Here is a 25,095-nt window from a genome sequence, read left to right on the forward strand (position 1 = left end):
AGATTTACAAAACAGAATACAACTGGTGTTCATGGCTCCCCCAGCACCACTCTGCTGGATAAAGACAGATATTGACCCGTAAAGATCAAACAAAACAGAACAGCTAACATGTCAAATACATTGTATTGTGTTGAGGGAGCGAGTGTTGAGGAAGAAGTGGATGGGGTGTTGGGGACGAACAAGATAGGATGACCTTAATATATTTTTTAAAAGCCAACAACTTATTTTTTATTTTTTTCAAGCCACACCATATCAAAATTGTAGTGATACGAACAGAGTCGGCAAACTTTTCTGCAAAGTGCCAGGTAGTAAATATTTTAGACTCTGTAGGCTTTATGGTGTCTTGTTGCAACTATTCAGCTTCTGCAGCACAAAAATAGCAATAGGCAATATACGAGTGAATGAACATGGCAGTGTTCCAATAAAACTTTATTTACAAAATAGGCCATGGGCCAGACTTCCCAATTTAGAGAATTAAATCTATGTCTGAAAATAGTTCTGTTCTCTACAACCACCAGTATGTGGAATCAGCCAAATTATGTTTCTTTTACTAATTATGTTGCCAAAGTAAAAACTTGAAATATCTTCTAGATAAATTCCTTGAGTTCCTTTGTGACTTGAACATCTAACACAACACCTGATACATCAAAAGAAAAAGTATCCAATGTTTGTTAAATAAACTGAATGATTTTCTGAGAAAGATATGGGGCAATTAGTAAAACAGAATATCCTGAAAACTCAGTAATAGTTGAGAAAGCAATGGAATATAAAATATTCAAGAAAAATTCTAAGAAAAAACATCAAGACAAAGATTGTTTACCTGTTTTACATTTTCACAAAATATTATGGCAAAAGTTAGAGACTCTTTAAAACCTAAACTCTTCTCTTAATTCCTAAGAAAATTACAGGGGAAAAACTCAAATATAAACAGAATGTATCTTTATTAAAAATTCCTCAGGGGGGTTGGGTGTAAAAAAATTCCTAATTTCATTAGAATACTTTAACAGAATCAAATCTTAACAGTTGTACTTAAAGTAATCATTTCCTTTTATCTTGTGTTCAGTGTTCAAAATATGTGTTAAAATGCTCATAAGCAAGATCAGAGGAGTATGTATGGTTAGTCTTGGTTTCTGGTAGTTGAAGGAGTATATTACTTAGTTAAAAATCAGCCATCAGTTACAAACCTGTGTGAAAACCAGAATTCTGAATGGGAAAAATGTAAATTCAGTTATTTTTGACGACAGATGGCAAAATAGAAGAAGCTGACAAACTTTTTTTTTTCAGTCATCTCAGAATTCGATTCAAAGTGTCAACTGAATTCAAAATTTTTATGGGAAAATTTAATGTTTTAGGATGGCTACTATTATTACAGGAGCTTCAAGACCACATTAGGTTATTTGATTCTTAAAAGTTTACTCAGAGGTGTCCAGAGTCAGCTTATTTATATCGAGATGTTTATCAATTAGGAAAAGATATACACCTGCTTTGGGAACTCAAAAGATACTGACATTAAAAAGGTCTATATTATTTCCAACAGTCGCACTCCATTTTTAGGCCATTACCATCTCAAAAATCATCTCCTGCAACTGACCTTTCACACATCACATTTCCCATCCTCCACCCCCTGGATCTATATTTGTGCTACTATTAGAAAAGATTCTCTAGAACTCTGCTTTGATCATATAGCTTCTCACTATTCACAGAACAGATATATTCTTGGCTCGATCTCTTTGTCCTGTCATCCCCACGTGGTGAACTTGACTATTACTAAATCTAAGGGCCCACCTTTCTCCAGGCTTACATTCTGGCAGCTGAGATAAAACCAGTTGTTCTATCCTATATTTCTTGAGACAGCTATTTCAAACCTTGTCCATATTCCCCAATTACCCAATCCCACATACTACTCTTGATTACCTCTTGATTCACAGAAAATGGACTCTAATATCTCAGGATTCTGCCCACAAATTACCGATTTGCCTTCCCACATATTGTTCCCACTACCTTTTTTTTTTTTTTTTTTTAGAGAAAAGTGACCCTTTTGGCTAAGACCAATCTCTCTAACCATGTCCTAGATCCTATACCCAATAATCTACACAGGGGCTTCACTCCATTTCCATTGGTTGCCATCTCATTTCTTTATCTTCAATTGTTTATTCCCTATTGGCTTTTTTCCATTAGCATGTAAATATATATCTTTTAAACCTGTCTTCAACCCCAGCTTAATCTAGCTAACCTTTGTATATTCTCTCCATTCATGGTCAATTATAGTTTTCTGTGCTAATTTTCTTTCTCTTCCTTCATTTAACTCATCTAGCCTTGAATATGACTTGTGGCTCTGTTAGTCCACCAAAGCTACTCTTTCCCAACAACTAAGATAAACTCTTGTTGCTATATTCAATGGAACCGTTTCAGGGCTCATCTTAGTTGACTTCTTATCAACAGTTTACATTGCCTTCTCCCTTCTTACAACACATTTCCATTCACCACATTCTCCAGGCTTTCCTCTTACCTCTCAACTACTGTCATCTGTCTCCTTTTGTATACATCCTTCCTTTTTCCTAAATCTTTGAGGCTCCGACTCCCTAGGCTCTTTCAATCTTACAATGAGTAATCTCATTGTAATCTCTTCCACTCTCATGGTTTCAGTTATTTGTTGATTCACAAATCCTTATTTCAGCTCAGGCCTTTTTCTTGGGAAACAGATCCGTATGTTTAGGAAGCATATCCATAACTGCTTCCTAACATCCTTTCTTGGATATCCCACTGAACACCTCAAATTTCTCACATCTAAAGAGCATTCTATCTTAGTAGATCTTACTATCCTCTACCCAGATGTTCAAGGCAAAAACCTGGATGTTCTCCCTTTTTTCTTCTAATCTTTAAGACATTGATTTTACTTTATAGATCTCAAATCTATTCTTTTCAATTACTGCTACTATTAGGGCTTAAAACATTTTTTGTTTCATTATTTGATGCTGACCTCACAATATGGGCTATGCTTCCCTCAGTAGCTTCATTGTTTTACCATTTTCCCACTCCCTCCTGATCCATGATTCCTATTTTATGCCTCAGTTCTGATAAATTACTCAATATTCCACATATGCTTGCTCTTTTTTAAAAAAAATTTTTGAGATACCTAGGTTGGAGCACAGTGGCACAATCATGGCTCACTGAAGCCTCGACCTCCCAGGTTCAAGCAAGGTGTGGGCTACCACACTTGGCTAATTTTGTTTGTTTGTTTTGCAGAGATGGGGTCCCGCTATGTTGCCCAGGCTGCTTGCTCTCTTTTGTCATCCAAATTTTCCACATCGTTTGCAACTGCCTGAAAACACTCCTCTTCCAACTTCTACTACATCAGCCTCCTTCAAGCCTCAGCTTAGATGCAACAATGTAGGAAACCTTGCCTAATTCCCTAAATCTGAGTTCAATTCCTCTTTAATGTGCTCTTACAATCCATCGCTCTCTCTCTGATCATAGCAGTCATCATCCTTCTACTGGAATTGGCTATCCATTTTTCTATCCTTCATGACATGGAGGAACATATAAGAGCAACAACCATAAGAGCAACAACCATGACTTTAACCATTCTATCCCCTTAAGGCATATAATATCCCACTTAAAAAATGAAATACATTCTATTTACTGAATAAATGATGTAGCTCTTGTTTTCTCCCTTAGATGGAAAGGAACTATTTGAACCTTCCACAGTGCTTAAGAGCATATTGTAGACATTCATTAAATACTTGTTGAAGTAAGAATAGAATGGGATTGCATTTTTCTGCCTCCTTTCCATGTGCACACTTGATATATACAGCAGTACAAATGTGGTGAAGTATAAATTTAAAAACTCATAAATTATATCTGGACAGTTCATCTCAAAATGTACCAAACAAGATATTTGTGATAGAAGCAAAACTTTTCATCAACAGTAATATTTCAAAATCTCATATACACTGCCTTAGAAATTTTTCTAGAAAAGTCTGGTTGTTAAGTCTCTTAAGTCTCCAGTCAGTAATTTATTCTACAAAGAAGAAAAACACATATAAAACTAATAATGAGTTTTAGCATCATTTCCAAAAAGGCAAAAAGAAGTATGAGATACCAAGAATGAGAAAAAAATAATACTTTAAAAATCAGATAAATATTAACAAATATTTCTATAAATACAACTTTATAAAAATAATGTCCTTGTTGATTGACTAAAAAAAAAGAATGTTAAAAAATAAAGAAGGAAAGTTATCAGTGAAAGATAGATAAAACTTTAAGCAGAACAGGAAATAGTATTAGTAATTTTAAAAATGAGAAAGATCAAAAACAGCTCTTCAAATGATACTAAAAATTTTAAAACTGCCCAAAAGGATTTTGAAATTAATTTGAAAAAGTAGTCACTAGGCATCTTCCATCTTATTTTTTCTAGGATGATTTCATATTTAGTGGGGGTAAATAATCACATTAAAATAAGCTTGATATTTATTTCTTAGGAAGATACAATGATTAAGAAGCTAAAAGGACAAAATACGGTTCTGTTGTAAAATGAATTAATGCATTTACTTCTGGTTAACTGTAACAGCATGATATGAGGATGATATAAAGAATTAAAAATGAAGCTTTACATTTTATTCTCCATTCATGACAGTCTTTAAGAATTATGTGTGTATATTTTCAGATGAATTATAATAAAAAAAAAACCACTATCAGGTTTTTTTGCCTCTCTTTTTCCTGACATGGCATTTGATATTTTTAGTTATCCTAAGAACAAGAAACAGGGCACTTTTTAAAGTTTTGATTCATCGTTTATAATGGAGAATCTACTTTGGCCAACCTTTAAAATTTTAATCATTGCATGTTAGATATTTGAAATTTTAATCACTACTTTCTGAAATAGGTTTTAAAGTTATATAGTTGAATAACTGAATCTTGGGGGTCATAAAATCATTAACTTATTAAAAATCAAGAATTTACTGCTTTTACTATTTTAATATAAGACCTGATACTACCTATTTTAGCTTTTAAACAAGTTTTAAAAAGAGTAGTAAAAATAAAGCCAATACTTCCCCAACCCCCCCAAAAACACCCCTAAAATATATAATGATGCAACTATATAATATCTTTAAATTTCCAAATGTAAAATTTCTTTCATGTTAAGCAAGTAATCAATAAGTACTTCCATACTCCTCAATATCCCTCATTGTCCAGTACTTATCAATAAGAAGAGCTGGAAATGGCTACACTGGCAACTATAGTGTTCCTATATTATTTTTACTAGGTTTTAGCAGGGGTGTCTAATATTTTGGCTTCCCTCGGCCACACTGGAAGAATTGTCTTGGGCCACACATAAAATACACTAACACTAACAATAGCTGGTGAGCTACAGAGACAAAAACAAAAACAACAACAAAAAAACACAAACAAATCTCATAGCGCTTTAAGAAAGTTTACAAATTTGTGTTGGGTCACACTCAAAGCAGTCCTGGGCTGCATGTGGTCCACGGGCTGTGGGTTGGACAAGCTTGTAGGGTCCCTGAGTCTCCCTGAGGCACCAACATCTGGTCAGTATAACTGAGTAAAGGATGTAATTGTTTGCTAAGGTAATTCTGGTTTGCATTTTGAATTTGGCATTACCTTAACAATAACTTGTATATGATTCTCTTTTGCTAGTTATGGATTACCTGTGAAAAAGAATCCTCATCTTTATATCTGTGGAAATGAGCTCAATGTCTGATATCAAAAAACTACTCAACAAGTTTGCTGATTTATTTTAAAAAATATTGTTGCTCTACCACTCTTCAAATCATCAGTCTTAAAGTGAGCTCCAAATGACATAACAACTTGGTGGGTGATGTGAGATTAGGATTATCCTAGGATATGTTACAATCTATCAATTTAACAGATAGTCTTTACTTTTTTAAAAACATGGTCTCATAGTTGTGGTTGATTTCTCAATTGAGTAAATATTTACTAGTTTATAGTGTGGTACTTAATTTTTAGTTAGTTACTTGGTTATATTTATCTGTCAAACTGCTTACTGCTTTTATTAGATCTACCAAATGCAAAAGGAGATAACATCTACATTATTAAAATAATATATTTTAAAGATGATTTCTATGTCTCTACTATATATATTTTTATTTGTGTGAAATCCTGGACATATTAAGAGGTGGGGAAGCGCACTGGTACATTTAGCAGCACCTAATTTCACGAGTTTCATACTAGGTGCCAAGAAATTAGGTTGTCCAAATATTTTGGAAACTAATTAAAACTGCATCAGCTGTTCCTTTTCTACCTGTTATACTTTACTCAAGGCACCTACAATGAAACTTTAAAATTAAGTAGAGAAGAACTTACCTAGGGATTTGGAAAAATAGTTTGCCATTTGTCCACTGTTGCAAGACTGTCGTTTATGTCTTTTTGTTGACATTTCTGTGATCTTCCATGGTGGTCTTTTTCTTTTGTTCAAATTGCTAAGAACTTCAAAACTATCAGGATTCTTGTCAAAGTTAACACATTTGCTTAATTTACTATTGCCAAGATGGTCAGCAAATTCATCAGCTGAAGGATTATTTGTGTTAGCATTTTCTATTTCTTTAGATTGCTTTTTAAAAGAATTTTGCCTAGCAGAATGAGATCTTAAAGTAAAGCGCTTTGATTCTTCCATATGAGTCTGATGAGTATTTCCACTGTCAGTAGATTCAGGAGAGTAAATGATTGTATTTAGCTTAAAAGTATTTCTGTGTTCAAGACAGTTGAGCTTCCTCAAAAATATTCTACAGTCTTTTAAGGTTTTTGACCTCCAACTATTAGGACATACATTTTCTAGTCTTGGTCCCTTTTGAAAGTCTTTTTGGCTGCAATTTGTTCCATTCTCTTTTGCTTCTGACTTAAATTTATTCTCAAAACTAGCATGTATTTTGAAGTCAGGCATTACTACCCTCTGCTGCAAGTCACCCCTGATCTCAGGTGGCAAAACACACTGATTATCTACTATGCTTTTTCCTTGGAGTGGGATGTCAGCATTTGTTTCTCCCTCAGTCTTATTTAAAAATTGGTTCTGGCAGAAAAATCTTAAGTTTCTCCTTTTAGAGTTCCAGTCAACTGTTCCATGGTTGTGCAGCTTTCCCTCTCTTTTCCACCTTTCATGATGCAACCTCTTAAACTCAGTCCTTTTTAATCTAGCTATTGCTAAATTACTTTTCACATTTAAGAGTGGAGAGTTAGCCACTTTATGCAGTATATGCAATTTCTCTGCTGATTTTGAAGGAGAAGAGAGTGCAAATTTTTTAAAGTGCTTTCTGAAGGGGCTGGCATTAAAGTCAGAATATTTGGTCCCTAATTTGATTCCCCTGGTATTTATTACTTCCAAAGGGTTTCGGGCATTTGCTTTTCTAACTAGTGAAAGAGACTGTGTTTCTGTTGTTTGCATAAACCAAGTACAGAGTTCATTCAAATCATACTTTTTCTGAAAAAGCATTTTTACAGGTGAAACTTCAAGTTCTAAAAGACAAGTTTCCAAAGGGCTTGCTACTTTGAAATGATCATTTTCAATGTGTTCTCTTTTTTTATGAATACAATTTTCAGCTTCATCTCCACTTACTTGCACCCAAGCATTTGTTATTTGCTCAAATCTATTGTTTAATTCCTCTAATAAGGAATCATTTGAAGCAGAAGTAGCCCACCACCTGAGCAAAGGGTTTGATGAAATTATAGGATCCAAGGATACTTCAGAAATAGGTACTAATTTATTATCTTCCAAACACTTTTTTGCATTCCGCGAAAGTCTGTTTCTTGGGGTATCTTTGTAAGCTATTTTCATCTTTGAGTGCCTATGTTTTTCCTTCTGACTTTTATTTTTCTGCAAATGCAGTTTATATGATTTATGGAGCAGAGCGTTTCTATAAATAAGTGAGCTAGAAGATGCTAATGAATGTAAGAAATGCAGAGATGGTTTTCTATCCCTAATAGAATGTCTCAAAGGTACAGTAGCAATCATACGTTTTGATCCATTTTTAAATATATCAGCTTCAGTGTGCCTTATTTTATCCATTTGAGTGCACTGTTGGTCATACTTTTCTTCAGGCAGATTTTTTCCTGACGTATTATCCTGTTCTAAAGGAGGCAAGCAGCTGCTAATACTTACTTCTCTTTCCTGAGGTGAAGTTCTATTAATAGTCACAGATATGCCAGAGATTTTCACTTTTGCCGGTCTACCAGGCTTCCTACTTATTGCCAAAGGCTTCTGATTTGGTCGAATAATGTTCTTGGAAGGCTGAGGTATCACAGATTTGTTCTTGATGGGTCTCACATATTCAAAGCCAGACCCCAAGATCTCACTTTCAGTAGTCAAGCTTGCTACAGCACTTATTCTTTCACCCAAGTCAATTTTGTCTTCACTAATATTTCTGGGACTATTATATTCAGTTGGAAAATCACCAGCATTATTGTTTAAAGACATAAGGTTGCTTATGTTTACCCTTCCTTCAGAAACATGCCTTTTAGTTCTTCTTGACCTTCCGTAAATAACAGTTACTGTAATACTCTTTTTATAAATACCTTCTTTTACTTCTGATATGAGACATTCTGGGCTTTTCCTTCCAGCACTAAAGGGCTCATTCTGGCAAACAGTGATGTTTGTTTGATCAATTTTAGGCTTTGGTGGTCTTCCAATTGGTCGCTTAATCTGTTTCACAACTTGGGGACCTATTTTTTTTGGTCTACCTGGTTTTCTTTTAAAAGATGGATCAGTAGCACTGCTTGAATTGTCCTTAGGTTCTTCTTGTGGCTTATCACTATTTATATCACCTATAAACATTGTAGAGGATCCTGCAGTTTCTTTTGCATGACTGAATTTGTTTAGTTCTCTTTGAAAAGTATCAGTATCATAATGACTGGAGTGATAATTTTCAGAGTTCGCATTTGAGATATCCTCATTTGTTTCTGTTTTTTCTTCAGTTACGTGATGGGTTGTAGGTTTTTCAGAAGGGAGAACAACATTTGAATGGGAAGTGCCAACTGAAGTTAAAGTATATTTGACCCCTTCACTACTTTTAACCTCAGATAAAAACATGAGTTTGATAGGACTAGAATAGTTGGAAACAGATGAACTTTCAGTACCTTCATATTTTGCTGGTACATTTTCAACACTGGAAATCAAGCGACCCATATCTAAAATAGATGACTTTTTCAGATTTTCAAGTCTTTTGTTATTCAAATCCACTGTAGGCATGCAGTGACTATTGATAATATTGCCGGATGCTACCACAGATTTTGATAAGCTCTGTTCTTTGCATGTCATTCTATTTAGAGTAAGAGTCATATTTCTGTCAGCATGTTGGTCTTTACCATCAATTTCTATCAATTTCTTGGATGCTTTATATCCTTCTGATAATGGCTGATTATTCCAGGATTTTTTGGCTATACTTATTGTATCTTCCAAACGCTTCACAACCACTTGTAAATTAGAATTCATTGCAATTTTGTTTAGGTCTATATTGTGTGAGCTTTCAATGTGAATATTTTTCACTGGATCGTTTTTTGTTGTGGATTCGGATACTTTTTTGGCTTTAGGGGATTTTTTAAAAACATAATTATTTGTTACATATACAGAATACCACCCTGGAGGCACAATATTTCGTTTAGTTCTGCTCAAAAGTCCAGAAACATCATTTCTCAAAAGAGTTTGAGTATTACCTAACTTTGGATTTTTCCTATCATTTTGCAAAAATTGTTTTCCATCTGCAGATTTCTCCTGTGGCTTTCTTATGCTCATTTTCTCAGGGGAAGTTGTTTTAAAGCTTTCTGAAAATTCATTAAAAGACAAGTTAGTTTCTGAACTATGAAGAGGTAGTTGCAGTGACTGTAATGCATAATTTGGTGAAAATGATGTTTCAGCATGATTTTTACCTTGAAGTCTTTTAGAATTTTGTAAAGAAGGCCCTTGGTCATGATAGAATTCTCCTTTGTCTGATGAAGATATCTCATTGTTTTGTGTCAATTTCCTTGAACTTTTTTCGGTGTATTTTTTTCTTGTAAAATTTTCATCAAGACTAGCAAGTTCTCTTTTTATCTGTAAAGACTGCCTTCTAAACATGGGTGAATCAGAGGAGTTGCGCATTGCAAATAAAGTTTCTTGACGCTTTCGAAATCTTGTCTGAATAATTTTATTTTCTACCTTTTTATCATGTTGACTCAATAATTCCATAAAACTATAATCACTGGCTTTTGCATTATGCAAGAGAGATGTTATGAAATCTCCCAATTTTAAATCATTATATGTATTATAATCACTGCTAGATAATTTTACAAGGCTTGTCATATCCGTGGTTTCTATTGATTTTAGTTTTTCATTAATGCGATCCATTAAATCTTGAAAAATTACAGCAGTTTCACCTTTTTCATGATTTGTAGTAGAATTATTGCTGTCATTTGAGAGTAAAGAATAAGAGTTACTGGATTTTTTAGTTTTAAGTATTTTATCTTGATGATCACTCTTATTGCTGCTGATTTCTGCTGGTGTGAGAGATGGAGGCTGGTTAATGTTTGCTTCAAGTTTGTTATTTTCTAAGGCTGAAATCTCTGAGATGACGTCTTTCAATTTTTCAAATCCTTCAGTTTCTATAGGTGATAATGGTGGGGGTGAGGGACTTCGAGATCTACAGGCATCTTTAAGAGTGACTGAAAGATCACATACTTCCTTTGACAAAAGAGGACTACGAAAGGCTGATTTTGTAGAGTGAATGTTTGGTAACAGTCCAGAACAGCACCTGTGAGAATTATAACTGTCTGCAATTCCTCTATTCACTACTGGCTTAACGTGTTCAACAGTTACAGTTTGGCAAGATAAACAATGTAAATCTTTAATACAGACTGGCAGAGGTTCTAAACCAGGGCTTTGTTTTTCGTTTTGTAAACAACCTCTTTCTGCCAGCCTATATTCACAACTACAGAACAGACCACATAAATCATCTTCGATTAAGGGCTTTTGAGATTCTGAAGACACAACACATGATGTATTACAACAGCAAAGAGAAGCAGCATTCTGCTCTTGGACTAGAAATTTCAACATAGCCAAAACTTGTTGCTGGTGATGTATGCACAAAGATTCCAAAACTTTGTTTAATGCTGATTTTCTTTTTTCCATTTTAGTAGCTTCCTCTGATTTTGCATCAACAGTTGAACTAAAAATAAAAATCAAACAAAAAATGAATTGCAGCAAAAATACCACTATAAGGAGTTATAATTTTAACAGTGTTTGAAAAAAGATATTTTGGTATTGCTGGACTCCTGACTCCTAGAGAGCTGCAATAATGGCATTTTGATTATTGTTTAGCAAAAATATAATGAAGCACTGATAATTAATTTCCTATGACAAAGTATAAGTCAAAGCAAAGCCCTATTTTTGCAATATAAAAGCTGATGATTATACATATGATTACATTTATATATTGTCTGTTTTTAATGTATTAAGAATATTTAATGGAAAGTGCTTCAGAAGGAGTTAAATTTTTATGAAGTAGCCATTTTATAAATTATTCTGATACATAATTATCAGTCTACATTAGTGCAAATAAGGAAAATAAAATGTAGGAGTACAATCTTTATTTAAAATAGATATTTTTTCCAAGGCAGTGAAAATAATAAAAGCTTTCCATAATCACAAGGAAAATTAAGGGATTTAGATTTTATGTAAATAAGAGAATGTCTTTCCTAAGATTAAGCTGCAGGCGTTAGCTATTTAAAAATAAAATCTATTTTTAATTGATGTTAAATACTAAAGTAATTTCATAAAAGCTAAAGGCATTACTTACCTAATTATTAAGTTTCAAATGCTGGAAAATGGCCCACTACAGAAACTAATATACATCTAACTTTAACTAAGAACCGGGCTTGCTTATCGACCAATATAGAAGTCTACACATTTTTTTTTAATCCAATACCAGCAGCAGGAAGAATAAAATATATTTAAAGAGTTCTGTTTCAGAAAAGTATTTTAATTAAACATATCACCAAACTCTGTACATGAAAATTGCCTTTCACTTACAGTTTATTACATTTGTTGTTTTTAATAGTTCCTGATTTCTAGAAATTTTAAGGTTGGAATAATGCTGATTATGAACTACTATTGAAGAATGTATTTGTTTAAATGCAGAATTATGCTCATCTATATTAAAAATTATAAGATTTTTACTTTAAAACAGGAAGTGGAATATTTTTATTTTGCTGCCTAAAACTGACATAGCCTGTTTCAGAGGTAATATTTCACTTATATTTTATAAAAATTATGTTATTTGAGTAGCAAAAATAAGGAAGCAAATTTTAAACATGTGATCAAAACTTTTCTGGAAAAAAAGATAACTTTACTAGATTCATCCAATGTTCCACTAAAACTAGTGATCTGACATAAAGAAGCTATCAAACAAAGTGAGAAGAGATGTGAAATTAAAATAAAACTTTTAAAGTCACTGCCGCCTCTAGACAGATGAAGATAGGACATGACCCCAGTATCCTTTCCTTTTTGAAAATAATTTTTTATAAACTTTGTCATGGTTGGGAGTGTAAAATGATGCAACTGACTCCCAGGATTCAATTACATAGTTTTAAAAAATATATGTAGAGAGCAAGGGCAGGAAGAAATGGTTAACTACCAAAGATTACAATATATTTTTTTCCAGCAAATTAAAAATGACTAATTTTCACACAAGCAAAAGAAAACCCAGAATGTTGTGAGAGATGCACTTCAGTAGTTTCTAAAGTGATGTTATGGCATAATAAAGAGAGAATTTACATGTTTCTTGGAAAAATATGTTGTATTTTAACGATTAATAATTGTTTATAACTCTTCCTGAAATGCTCAAAGGCTTTTTTCTGTTAATAAAGCCAGGTATGTGGTACAAGTAATCAAAACTAATGACTAGTGTTAAGTATTCTGAAACAATGTTATAATACCAACTTGATTAAGCTCACAAAATTACAAAAACCACTGCTTTTTATATCCCTTTTCTGACATTCTAAGCAAAGCTTTTAGAGTTTTCTTATTCAATTTATTAATAATGGAATTTCAAAAATACTATGGTAGCCAGTAATTCCCATCTAATGCTATAAGAACAGCTTAAAAAAGGTATAAATTAGATATTCAGATATTAGATTCTATCTTATGTATCAGATATCAGAAACTAAGATCTCAAATTACAGAACTTCACAATATGCTTATTTGGCTTCAAACATTCTCCCCCATATTTCTTGCATGTTAGGATCTTAAAGAAAAACCTAGTAATGAGTAAATAATAGTTGAACACACATATAAATATCCAGTCTAGAATTTATTCTCAGGTGATTATATAAGGTTCTAAAATTGTATTTTTTTTGTAGATCCTTTGCTTTTAAAGTTTTCTAACCTTTTCCTGTTTGATTTATAAACCAAACATACTGCCTATTTTTAGTATGTTACTATCCATTTTGCCCACTAGAAACTTGTTGGAATATTTCTTCAGAAAAAGTAAATTAGAATACTATATTTAATAAAACTGCTTCCTAAAGTAAATCAAACAAGTCAGTGTAGTCAGTTTTTTTCTTTTCTTTTCTTTTTTTCTTTTACTGAATGAGTAAATCAATCACACACCAACAGTGTTGTAAATTTAAGTGCAAAAGCATTGAAGTGCTTTACTACAAATTACAACCTAGAAACACGTTAACTGAACAATTAAAATTCATACAATCAGATTTAGATATATAACAACACAAAGTAGGAACAGAATTACAGTACATTTACAACACAAGACAGATACATGAATTCATTAGAAAATATTGTAATAAATAATTCATGAATTATAGTGCAATTGATTTATGCATAAATATAACTAATTGCCTAACAATCAGTTTATATTAACAAAATCTGTCAAAATCAAGGCAGCCACAGAGTTTTACTAAATTACTGCGACATTGGAAATACTGCAATTAAAAAACAAATACAAGTATTTGTACTGTAAACAACTAAAAAAATCAGTCTCACTAAAGTTAGTATACAATTTAATATAAAATTGTCATTAGCTACCAGAAATGGTTTAAACAACTTTACTGAGCAGTAGTTTTCTAAAAACAGAGGCACTGTTTTCTCTTTTCCTTCTTTTTTTTTTTAATATAAAATACTTGAGGAACATTCAAATAAGTAGAAAGCACATAAGGGTTGCTTTCACCTTCATTAAGTCTGCTGAAACGGGATTTTTCAGAAAATTGTCAATTAATAAATAGTAACTGGTAACTAAATTCATAAAGTACTTTGAAAGTTTAACATAAAGGTCATCTTAATAGAATCACTGGGGAGAAGGGGAATTTCCCTGCCTTTCCTAGTTTGTATAATCAAATGTTAACTCAATAATAGAAATGTTTTGTTTCTTTTAAAAGTTATGGGTTGATTATTACCTATAAACTATCAAAAAATATTTTAATTTACTATTTCTGACCAAAAATAAATAATACAAGTACTAAAATGCTGCAAATTAACTATAATATTACCTATAAAACTACTGATTACTGTGAAGTCAATAGCAAAATGATCCCTGATTTATGAATCCTGTAAAGTTTTTGGTCAGGTCATCTTTTAAATGATACAAAAGTGTTCTGTAAGTTTCCCTTTACTATAAACTTCTCAATCAATTTATTAATGTAAATATAGTGTGAGGAATAAAAAAGCTCAATACAATATAAATATTATGTAATGCATTCAAAGCCCCCAAAGTTTTCCAAGTAAAATTCTGTATAAAGAGGTCAATAAAATTGTTTTGAAATATGTACTTTACCTTTAACTTTGCTTTCCATTGGGGGAAGGGGGAAATATACTAAATAATGCAAGTTCTGGCCCTCACAAAATATGGCTTAATTCTTTAAAAAGAAAGATGACCCTGACATCTGCTGTTCTGTAATCTATTATGTATATTTTCTTGGGGTGAAAAAAAAAAAAAAGAGGATTCATACCCTAGTGTGCAGGTAACATTAATAGCTGAAGAGGGTTAAGTATAGATCTCAGAGACCAAATAACTGCTTGGTTGTGTAGTTTCTCACTCTTCAGTTTCTTTAAACATGTAAGCAGTTTTAAAATTTAATAGCTGAAAATCTCTTTAGTATTACACGTATATATGATTATTAAATACACACAAACACAAGTGTAAAAACACAAGCATTTGACAAGGTGCACTTATTTTTTAAATTCAGCTAAAAGTATTCCTTTTGGACTTAGGAAAACTGGCTTAGAAAAATGATCAGAACCTGAATTTTAACAGAGAAAGGGGGCACTCAGAGAATTTTGAATACATAAAGCAAATCCCTATTCTTTATATGAAGGCATATGCTTTATAACATTTTACCACTACAGTTGCATACTCCATAAATCCAACAAGGATACTTTGACCCATATTTTAAAACTGCTAGGTAAAAATGACCAGTCTCTCTTATGAGTCTAGTAAAAGTTAAAATGCACTGCCCAGCTTCTAACTACCCAATTAGTAGAGAGTTTACATTACTGAAAGTTCAAAACAGCTTCAGTGTTAAATATTTGTAAATCTATTCAAGACCCTGAACAAACTGCAAATTTGGTTATTAGCAAAATGATAATGTATCGCCCACCAAAATGAAATCTGCAATTCATTTTGATAAACTGAAAATGTTTTGAAATGTCACAGCAGCAAATATATTAAAGTTACACTGAGGTTTTTCAATAGTAGGAGTGTGTCACAATCCTTAAAATTTAAAGTAGTCATAACATCAACTAACCAGCACATTTAAACCAAAATTATCATTCTCAAGCTTTTTCTGTGCACATTATAAACATGCTCTAAGTTGCATTCCAACTTTCTTTTCTAACCTTACACATTAGCTTATTTTTCAAATGAAAAACAAAACTAAATTATTTTAATAATTAAATTTAAATTATTTTTTGTTCTTAGTACTCCATCTTATTATATTAAAGGGTTCTATAGCTGCTGGGGTTAACTATGTGTCAGTTTTTTTAAAGTATATACCTTATAAACCCCAACTTCTTGCTAAATCAACTATTAAATGATAAATATTAAATTTCATTATACATATCCTTTAAGGTTTTCTTTTCTATTCCTGGTGGATGCACTTGAGTGCATTTTGTATTTCATAGAATGCACTGTCGTGTACTAATACTGTATATATTAATTTTTCTTAGTATGGAGATAGCTATTTAAACTTTGATTGGTTGCTTGACATACATACAACAAGTGTTAAGTCTGTTGTATAGAATGTTTATAAACTATGAATATCATATTTCCATTATAAGATGGTTCAACTGAATGGCTGGAATGGTCTTTCACCAATAAAAATGTTTCACTTGACAATTACTCGTTTTCCCACAACGCTTTATGCTATTGACTACTAAAGAAAACCTGAATCTTTTTCACCTATTTATACAAGGATTAAATACAAACTATCAGAATTAAGTAAGCAACTATATAATTCTGTCCACAGTGAAAACCCTGAATAAAACTTTTTTTCAAAAGGCATGTAAGTGGTTTTTGAACTGTAAAATTTCATGTCTCCTGTCAGAGTGAGCATTTGTAATTCCCACGTGTGTATATAGACACACAAATACACACCTGTGCACATACACACACACGCAAACACACACACACACACACACTCACAAACATTTTCCTAACAAGTAATCTACACAGGCTTGCTGCTGTTTTTGCAGCTGCCAGTCCCTGAATCTGTCATATTATATAACCCAGTGTCTGGTAATCGTAGTTTCTTCTTCGGAGGAGTCTTCAGTGTTCCAGATCTTTCTTTTACCTTGTATTCTAAAGTGCTGTGAGGTACCCCATAAATTCCTTGTGCTTTGGAAACACTCATTTTTCCGCTCATTACCATTGCAATAGCTTCTTCCATTATTTCATGATCATATTGCCGATAGCGGCCACGTTTTTTCCTGGGCTGCTTACTGTCTTTTCGATCTAATCCATCTTCAGTATTTTCAGAGGTTCCATCAACTGTTCCATTTTTAGAATTAAGACACAAAGGAGAGAGGTCCCCATGTAGAAAGTAAGAGTCAACACTTGAGTGAGTTACAGGCCCAGAACATTCTATTTTGTTCTGTTTAGGGAGTATATTTTTCAGTTTTTGGAGAGCTGATCCTTCTAGGACTGAAGAGGTTTTGGAAACTTGATACATAACATCCAACAGACCAGAACCATCAGGTTGTGATTTTGAGACAGAACTTACTCGTAGCTGAGGAATTTTTAACTGTACAGTAGGATTTGAAGTTTCATATTGGAGGCTTTCATTTTTTTCTTTAAACTGAGTGACCATTTTCTGTAGAGTTAGCTGATGGAGGTAAGTGGAAGCTGTTGGGAATTTTATTTCTGAGGTTTCAAGTAGATTGAGTTTACTTTTTTCTGTGCGCTCTGCTTGAGCTCTTGCCCACAAGGCTACTTTTTGCAGCACTGCACAAGTTTCTTTACTGTCCTTATATGAATAACTATCATGGAAATCTCGAGTTTTGTTTTTAAAAGATGCAGGCTTCCCTGCTGGTAAGGCTTCTAAGTGAAGAAGTAAAGTTTTTTGAGGTATGCCATAAAGTATGCCTGCTTTATTTATGTCCAGTGCTCCAGACTGAATGTCTTTCAAAGCTTTTGAGAGCAAACCATCTGCAAACTCAGCACTTCTTTCCACATAGTCCTCTCTGTTTCTGTGTAGTCTCCTGGATGGATGGAATGAAACGATGGTAAACTGATGCATGAGAGACTCTCACACAGCTATGGAAGGGGAGGGTCCACTCCTTTATTATACTCCTTGCTTAGGTAACATCACTGCTTATGACACTTTTAAGTCTGTGAGATGTAGTAGTTACTCCTTATCAAAGCAAACGCTACAGTCCTGGTAGGACAATGTGACAATGATACGGTGGCCTCAACGGGCAGACCTTCCAAGAACATAAAATCCTAACTCAGTATTTGTAAAAATATTCTCATGATGTTGCTATTCCTCTGATAGATGCTTGCAGAGCAACACTTATAAATTTTATTTATACAATTAGAGCTCCATTATAAAAAGTACCCAAATCCTAAAGGAGTTTTTGTTAGTACAAACGTGACGTTACCGCTAAACAAGTAATAAAAGAGTCAACCCCTTTAAAGGAAATTTGTAGCAGCAGGAATATTTCCAAACACAAACATCCCATATTTCCACAAGACTAATTTTTCTCTAGACAAGAGCTTAAAACTTGAAACAAGTAGATGTTATATTTGAATAATTTAATTTTAGATATTATAAATGTCACTATTTCAAATTATCATTGTAATTTTCAAAGTTTCTCAAACAGAAAGCTTACTATACCTTACGACTCAAATACTACTACAGCCGTAGTTGAAACAAATTACAATCTACCTCTAAGATTTAAATGTGACAAAAAAGCTTCCTATGCAGTTAGTTAATGGGAAGATGCAAAAAAGTTGTAAAAAAAAATCCAAAAATCCAACAGAACAGCATTTCACTACTAATTATTTATTTAATGATTAATGACACTTTTCAAAACATGAGAGGACTTTTTGTGGTGATTACTAGATATATTTAAGTAGTTTGCCACCACATCTAAAGTGCAATAAAAAAATCTAAACACTATAAACTAGCATTAATTAGTAAGTACAGTGCTTTTGGAATTTGTTCATTGTTTTAAAAAATTAATAAATTACATATTTCCCTTAAAATTGCGTCCTGAGTATTTAATTTAATATTCTCTTACTCGTCCTGCTTCTTAGTTTGTATTCTATAAGTTGGTAGTTCATTTTAGTAACATGAACTAAAGTTTGGTGATTGTTCTGATAACTTTTCTTTAACAGAAAGAATAAAAAAGAAAGAGAAAGGACAAATGAAAGGTATGAGAGAGAGACACTTATGAGTGACAAAAATTCTGGAGGAAAACTATATACGTCAATACTACTCAGAATAGTATTAAGAGTTCTCTGCAGAGATAATTTTATATTAATATTAAATTATATTTCCTAGATATTGCTTACCCAGCCACTGAATTTTCAGAAGAAGGATCACATATGGATGACTCTTCAGATTTTATGCTGGTTTTCTTTGTAGAGAGATCTAACACTCCATCCCCTATAATTTTTGCAAGAGAAAAAACTTTATATTTGCAACAGATAGGCAATCCTTACATTTTAATATTTCATATTTTGTTGATCTAATTCATAACACTAGTATTTGATATGTGGCCATTACCTATTCATCTTAAACGGGTTTAGGAACAGGATATGACTGGGAAGGCACTATATAGGAAAAAAAGAACAGAGGAGGAGCTGGCATTGCCAGGTGATAGGAAGAAACTAACTAAATATATGATATAAAATTTGTCTAAGATAAACTTTTAGTCACCTCTCCACCATTTTGTAGTGAATAGCCATTGATTGCTCATTCATGACTGTTTTCCATTCAAAGCTGCCCAGATAATGCTTTGGGAAGGTGGGAGTGATGTAAATTGTACAAAATGGAGAGAATAGAAAATGTGATGATGAGTAAGAGAATTGAATAATTAGCATTTACTAGGACTAGCAAAAGGTAAACTGTGGCTGTACGTATAAACATGTATTTTCTAGAACTCATAGTGTAAAATTTTACTCTTTTAAATTATTGAACTATACAATAGTTAAATCATTGCCTACATAATAAATTGTGCTTATATCTACGACTAAAGACATAATTTACGATAATGCAACTTTAGAAAAATAATGTTATAAAATAACTGCCTACGCATGTTATTAAAATGTAATTATAACATTTACATAAATAAAAACTCAATGATTCAGACTTGTTAATCTGGCATGCTTCAGGATCAAAAAGGATAAAAATAAACCATGAATTTAAAACCCAGCAAAGAATTCCGTGAATGTTTTTATTGTTAGCTAAAAAACTGAAAGTTTTAGCTCTAAGAAAAATTATTATTGAAAAATACATGTTTAAAAATATACTAATTCAACTGGGCTTAAAAAATTCAACTGGGTTTTACTGTAACCATAATCAATCCATGAAATATGTATGTTCCTGGGCAGATACAAAGATGAAAAATAAAACAAAACATCCTATCTATAGCCTCCTATATAGACTTCGACAATAATTTATTGAGCGCTCACTATATGCAAAGCACTATTTTAGGCACTAGAAGAGCATCAAAAAAAAAAGTCATACAAAGTACCTATTGTCATAGTCATAGTGCTTAGGATCTAATGAGATAATTCATACAACACCACAACCAGCACCACTACCACCAGCAATTATGATAGTGCCACCCTGGAAAATAACACAGAGTAAGCTGATAGAGTAATGAGGGTGGGGCTGAGAATGCTGCTGTTTTACACAGTGTTATCAGTGCAGGCTTCTTTGATTTGAACAGGGCCCTGAATAAGGTGAGGATCACCAACTAATCAGATACATGGGAGAACGTTTCCAAAAGAACAGTCTGTATAGGGGCTGTGATATGGAACCATGTCTGGAATGTCAGAGGAATAGCAAAGGCCAGGGTATCTGAAATGAAGGAAGCCAGGCCAAGAGTGAGCTGAGATCAGAAATGTTATAGGAAGAGGTTAAACAGGGCCATTGGGCCATGGCAAGAACTTCGCATTTCATTCTGACAGAGACAGGAAGCCACTGGAGAATTCTGGGTGGAAGACTGACATGATTTCAATTTAGGTTTTTAAAAGATCAATCTGCTATGGGAGAATGGACCGCAAGGAGCTAAAGGTGGAGCAGGGAAACCTGCTGGGAAAGTGCTATGCTATTTCTCGTTTCTGGGCTTTCACACTTGGAATTGGTTTCCTCTGCCTAGAAGATTCATACTCTTCTCCTCCTGACCCCCGCCTCACCCCGGCAACCCCTCCTAATTCTCACCAAATCTAACTCATCAGCCCCACTCAGAACACAATGTAGAGTTGGCTGATCATCATAATAGGTTACTATACCAGTAACACTTACTTACAGTATTTAGTGGGTTGTAATGCTAGTTGTTCATATACCCACCAGTGCTAGCCACAGACTATAAGCTATGTGAAGGCAGAGACCATGCATATTTTATTCATCAATATATTCCTGCTGCTTAGAATAGTGCCTGGCATACAATAAGTATTCAATAAATGTTTGCTGAATAGAATTTCAAAGAACTGGAAAAATTCAGTGTGGCTAGAGGTTAGAGTCCACAGATTAGAAGGGTAAAAGGGGGAGACTGAAGAAGCAAAGTACCTGGCACAGAGTATCTCGAAAAATTATTAAATACAGTTTATTGCCCCAGTTTACCCATCCAGCTTAATTTTAAGCTTAGTCTCCAACTCATCTCAAACCTCACGTCTCATTTATCTATGTAACTACTTGAATTCCCTCAAACGTGCTATGCAGTGTTATGCCTCTCAAACTGCAGTACATTGTTCCCTCTGCCTAGAATGCTCTACTTATTCAACTTGTCAAACTTCTACTCATCAAACTTCTACTTATCCTTAAAGACTCAGATCCCCTGCCCAGGCAGAAGATGCTTATTTTGTCTTCCTGCGTGGACAGCATCCTATAATACTTATGAAACTATCATGCAATTATTGATTTATAAATCTTTTTCTCCCATGAGACTGAATCCCTCAGGGTTCAGGATCTTGACTTATTCATTTGTATTACTAAACATTGGTAGAGTGCTAAAACCTACTAAAAGGAGAAAGAAATGTTTCCTCTGTTCTGTCATCTCATTTCTCTTTTTTGGCAATTAAAATTTTACTACTTTAAGAACTTATAAGAAAGGATAACTGCCAAACTCATATTCAAGTTTATAACTTTATTCACTCATTTTGATTTTGCTCATTTTATGTACAGTTTATGGCATATAAAACACATTCCCCTAAGTCTGTTACTCTTAGTCTCAGAATGAAGTAATGAAATTTCCCCCATTCTAAGCTCTCTTAGACTTGATATGCTCCACTTAAAATTATTTCATAAAATAGAAATTATGGAAGGAGGTACAGGAACCCCTTTCTCTCCTTTACAGATACTATAAAAACTAGGCTGCAGCTCTCTACTTGGGGCAATAAAGGTTTCTTTTCTTTTTTTGGACTACTCACACACGAAGCACCAACTATAGCGCATTTTAATCTGAATGAGCTACATATAAGCTCTACTCCATCTTTCAGAAACCTATGCAAATAGGCTTATACTTCTGATTCTTTCTCTTTAGGAAGTCTAAACAATGACCCTATTGAGAAATGCTTTTATCTCTTCTTCATAGCCCTTTCTCCACATCTAGGCTATGTTAAAAGTTTTATTCTAAAAGGATTTGACAAATAAAGTAATATATTATGGTATCTAGTGAAAATGAAAAATGTACTCCATATTTCTGTCACATTGCATTAAAATTCTTTTATCAATTAATGTCTACATAGTAAACACAAAATACATAAATATGTAATAGTTGCAATACCATTAAGAATTTTAGATCAATTTTAGTTATCTATGGAAAATCTCACTTTTTGTTAGCAGTATTAACCATCTATACTATTTTGCTGATAGCATGATTCCCTTTTCTTCATAAAGCCTGTAGTTCAAGGGCTGGAAAAGTCAAAAGAAGATACTCCTAGGATTGTCTGAATTAGAAAAACAAAAACAATGAGACAGCCAGCTTGGGAAGGATAGAGAAAGCCCAGGAATGGTGGGGGTGGGGGAAGGATATTTTCTTTTTCCTCATAATTTACATTTATCTGAATGGTGATTACATCACTCTTTCACAATGGAGATATAACTAGATTTTGTGTGTACATCATTCCAAAGTACTAAAATTAACTCTAAATATATGATAAAAATCTGTTTAAAATCAACTCTTGGTAACCTCTCCCACCATTTTGTAGTGAATAATGTAGATAAAATTAAGCGCCCAGCATGCTATTACAAGATAATACAAACTAAGTAAGGTGGAGGGGGAGGTAATTAATTCAATTTTACTAGTATATTCTCTGCAGTCTATCTTATTACACTGTAATTTATTCCCCATTTATTTACTGTTGGTATTCAGGTTGTTTTAGTTTTTCACTGTTACAATGCTGAAATGAATATCCTTCTAAATTTTTCTTGTGTTCATGTACAATAATTCTCTAAGATAAACTATCAGAAGTGCTGAACAATAGATATTACCAAATTTATTTCCCACATCCTTGATAACACTTGGTGTTGCTGTGATTTTTAATTTTTGGTGAATAAGTAAACTTCAGGATTAAGTGAAAAAGACAGTGTATTTATTATGCCATTTATGTGAATATTTAAAGCACACAAAACTATTTTGTTTACAGATACATAAATAGGTGGTATCATTGGTTGCTTCCAAGGGTAAACAAAAAGATCTAAAAGGATCTTAACTGTATTTCTAGAAATACTTTAGTTCCTTAAGAGAAGACAAATCAGAGGTAAATATGAACAAGTAACACGTTTATTAATTCTGGTTAACAAGTACAGGATTATTACATTGTATTTTTCTGTATATTCAAAATTTTTACTAACATTTAATAAATACAAAATTGTTTTCATTTACTGGTTGGAGACGGGTCATTTAACACTATAATTTAATTATTTCTGACCAAACGCTATTGTAAAATGTACAGAATTAAAGATAAGCCAATCTAATCTTTGAACAAGGTCAGGTAATTGTCTATATAACACTACCGGAATTCAATTTAAAAATAAACTGACGTTTCAAAAATTGAAGTCATGGCCACATTGGGCAATTTCTTGAATACTGACACTTTATTGGGTTTTTAGTTAAAATTCAGATTTCAATTTTTCATTTATAAACTGTTTTCTTTCCTGTATTGTCATGCAAATTTCTGATACAGGATCTATTCAAAAAGGACAACTGGAACCTTCATAATATAGAATTGTTTTCCACCCCTCCAAGGAAATCATTCTGTTTCATCTCTTATCTGGCCTTTTGCTATTCTCCTCTCTAGGAAATTCTTATGGTTTTGTTAATTATATTCGACTGATTGCTAGAAAATATTAGTAACTTACATTAAACCTAATGTGTTTAAAACTCTATTTTTCTATAGTGTACTTAAAGTGTGCGAAGCATTTGCTACAAACATTACATGTCTTAACTCATCCAGTTCTCACAACAACCGGATGGCATAAATAGGTTTATTAATGTGCAAATTTTGATAATAAAACTGAAAATGAAAGAGAAATCAACTACTTGAGAGGCTGAGACGGAAGAATTACCTGAGCCCAGAGTTTAAGTCCAGACTGGGCAACATAGTAAGACTCCTGTCTCTTAAAAAACACAAAAACAAAAAACGATGTAGCCATATGTCTTCAAAAATCTTAAAAATGTTTACACTCTTCTAGGTATCTATTTTAAGAAAATAATATTTAACATAAAAAAGGTTCTATATAAAAAGATATACCGTAGATTGTACAATTTTTTAAAAACACTAAATATTTAAAAAATGGTTACATAAATTATGGTCCCTTCACTTGTTTGAGAATTAGATTTAACACTGCCAGTAAGGCATTAATAAAGCATGAAAAAACTGCAAATGCTACTGTAACGTTTTTAAAAGGTATGATATAAAAATCTGATATACAGATGATGTAAACATGTAAATGCAAATGCTACTATAACATTTTTAAAAGGTACGATATAAAATTTGATATACAGATGATGTAAATATGTTTTGCATGTAAAACAAGAACCCCCAAATAAAATGAAATATAGAATAAACTGTGGAAGTAAATATACAAAAATGGGAACAATGGTGATCTTTGGTTGATAAAGCGTCGAGCAGTTAAAATATGTGATTGTGTGCATGCACATACCTAGGTATGTATGTGCCTACATATACACTTACACATACTTTTCTGCCTTTCCCAAGTTTCCATAATAAAAAAAATCCGTAAACTTAATTAGCAAAAAAATCAACAAAGTGTAAAAGCATTCCCTGGGTTTATCCAAATTTCGATTTTAAAAATTTGAAGTCTTATGCTCACTGCAAATAAAATTGTTTTGATTGTTACTGTTTAACTATGGCGTTTCAGTCATGGGAGAAATAACACAAGAGTAGCACA

General features: G+C 32.8%; 1 protein-coding gene across 19 annotated transcripts in view; it reads right to left on the reverse strand.

Moving 5' to 3' along the window:
• The window catches only part of LCORL (ligand dependent nuclear receptor corepressor like), a 180,689-nt gene that overhangs the window by 25,856 nt on the left and 129,738 nt on the right, over positions 1-25,095 (reverse strand). For 5 of the 19 annotated variants that reach the window (NR_158568.1, NR_158565.1, XM_017007965.2 and 2 more), the window contains one exon: positions 19,026-19,119. The exons of 6 other annotated variants lie outside the window; for them this stretch is intronic. Coding sequence is in view for 10 of the 13 variants with exons in the window: in XM_017007965.2 (XP_016863454.1) it covers positions 19,026-19,119 (94 nt within the window). In the remaining 3 variants the exon portion in view is untranslated. Of the gene's footprint in view, positions 1-6,345; positions 11,172-13,552; positions 17,711-19,025; positions 19,120-25,095 lie in introns of those variants that run through there. 8 more of the 19 variants (NM_001365658.1, XM_047449966.1, NM_001166139.2 and 5 more) reach the window with 3 other exon arrangements.

The sequence above is a fragment of the Homo sapiens genome, chromosome 4 (genome assembly GCF_000001405.40).
Source record: "Homo sapiens chromosome 4, GRCh38.p14 Primary Assembly".
NCBI classification, from domain to species: domain Eukaryota; kingdom Metazoa; phylum Chordata; class Mammalia; order Primates; family Hominidae; genus Homo; species Homo sapiens.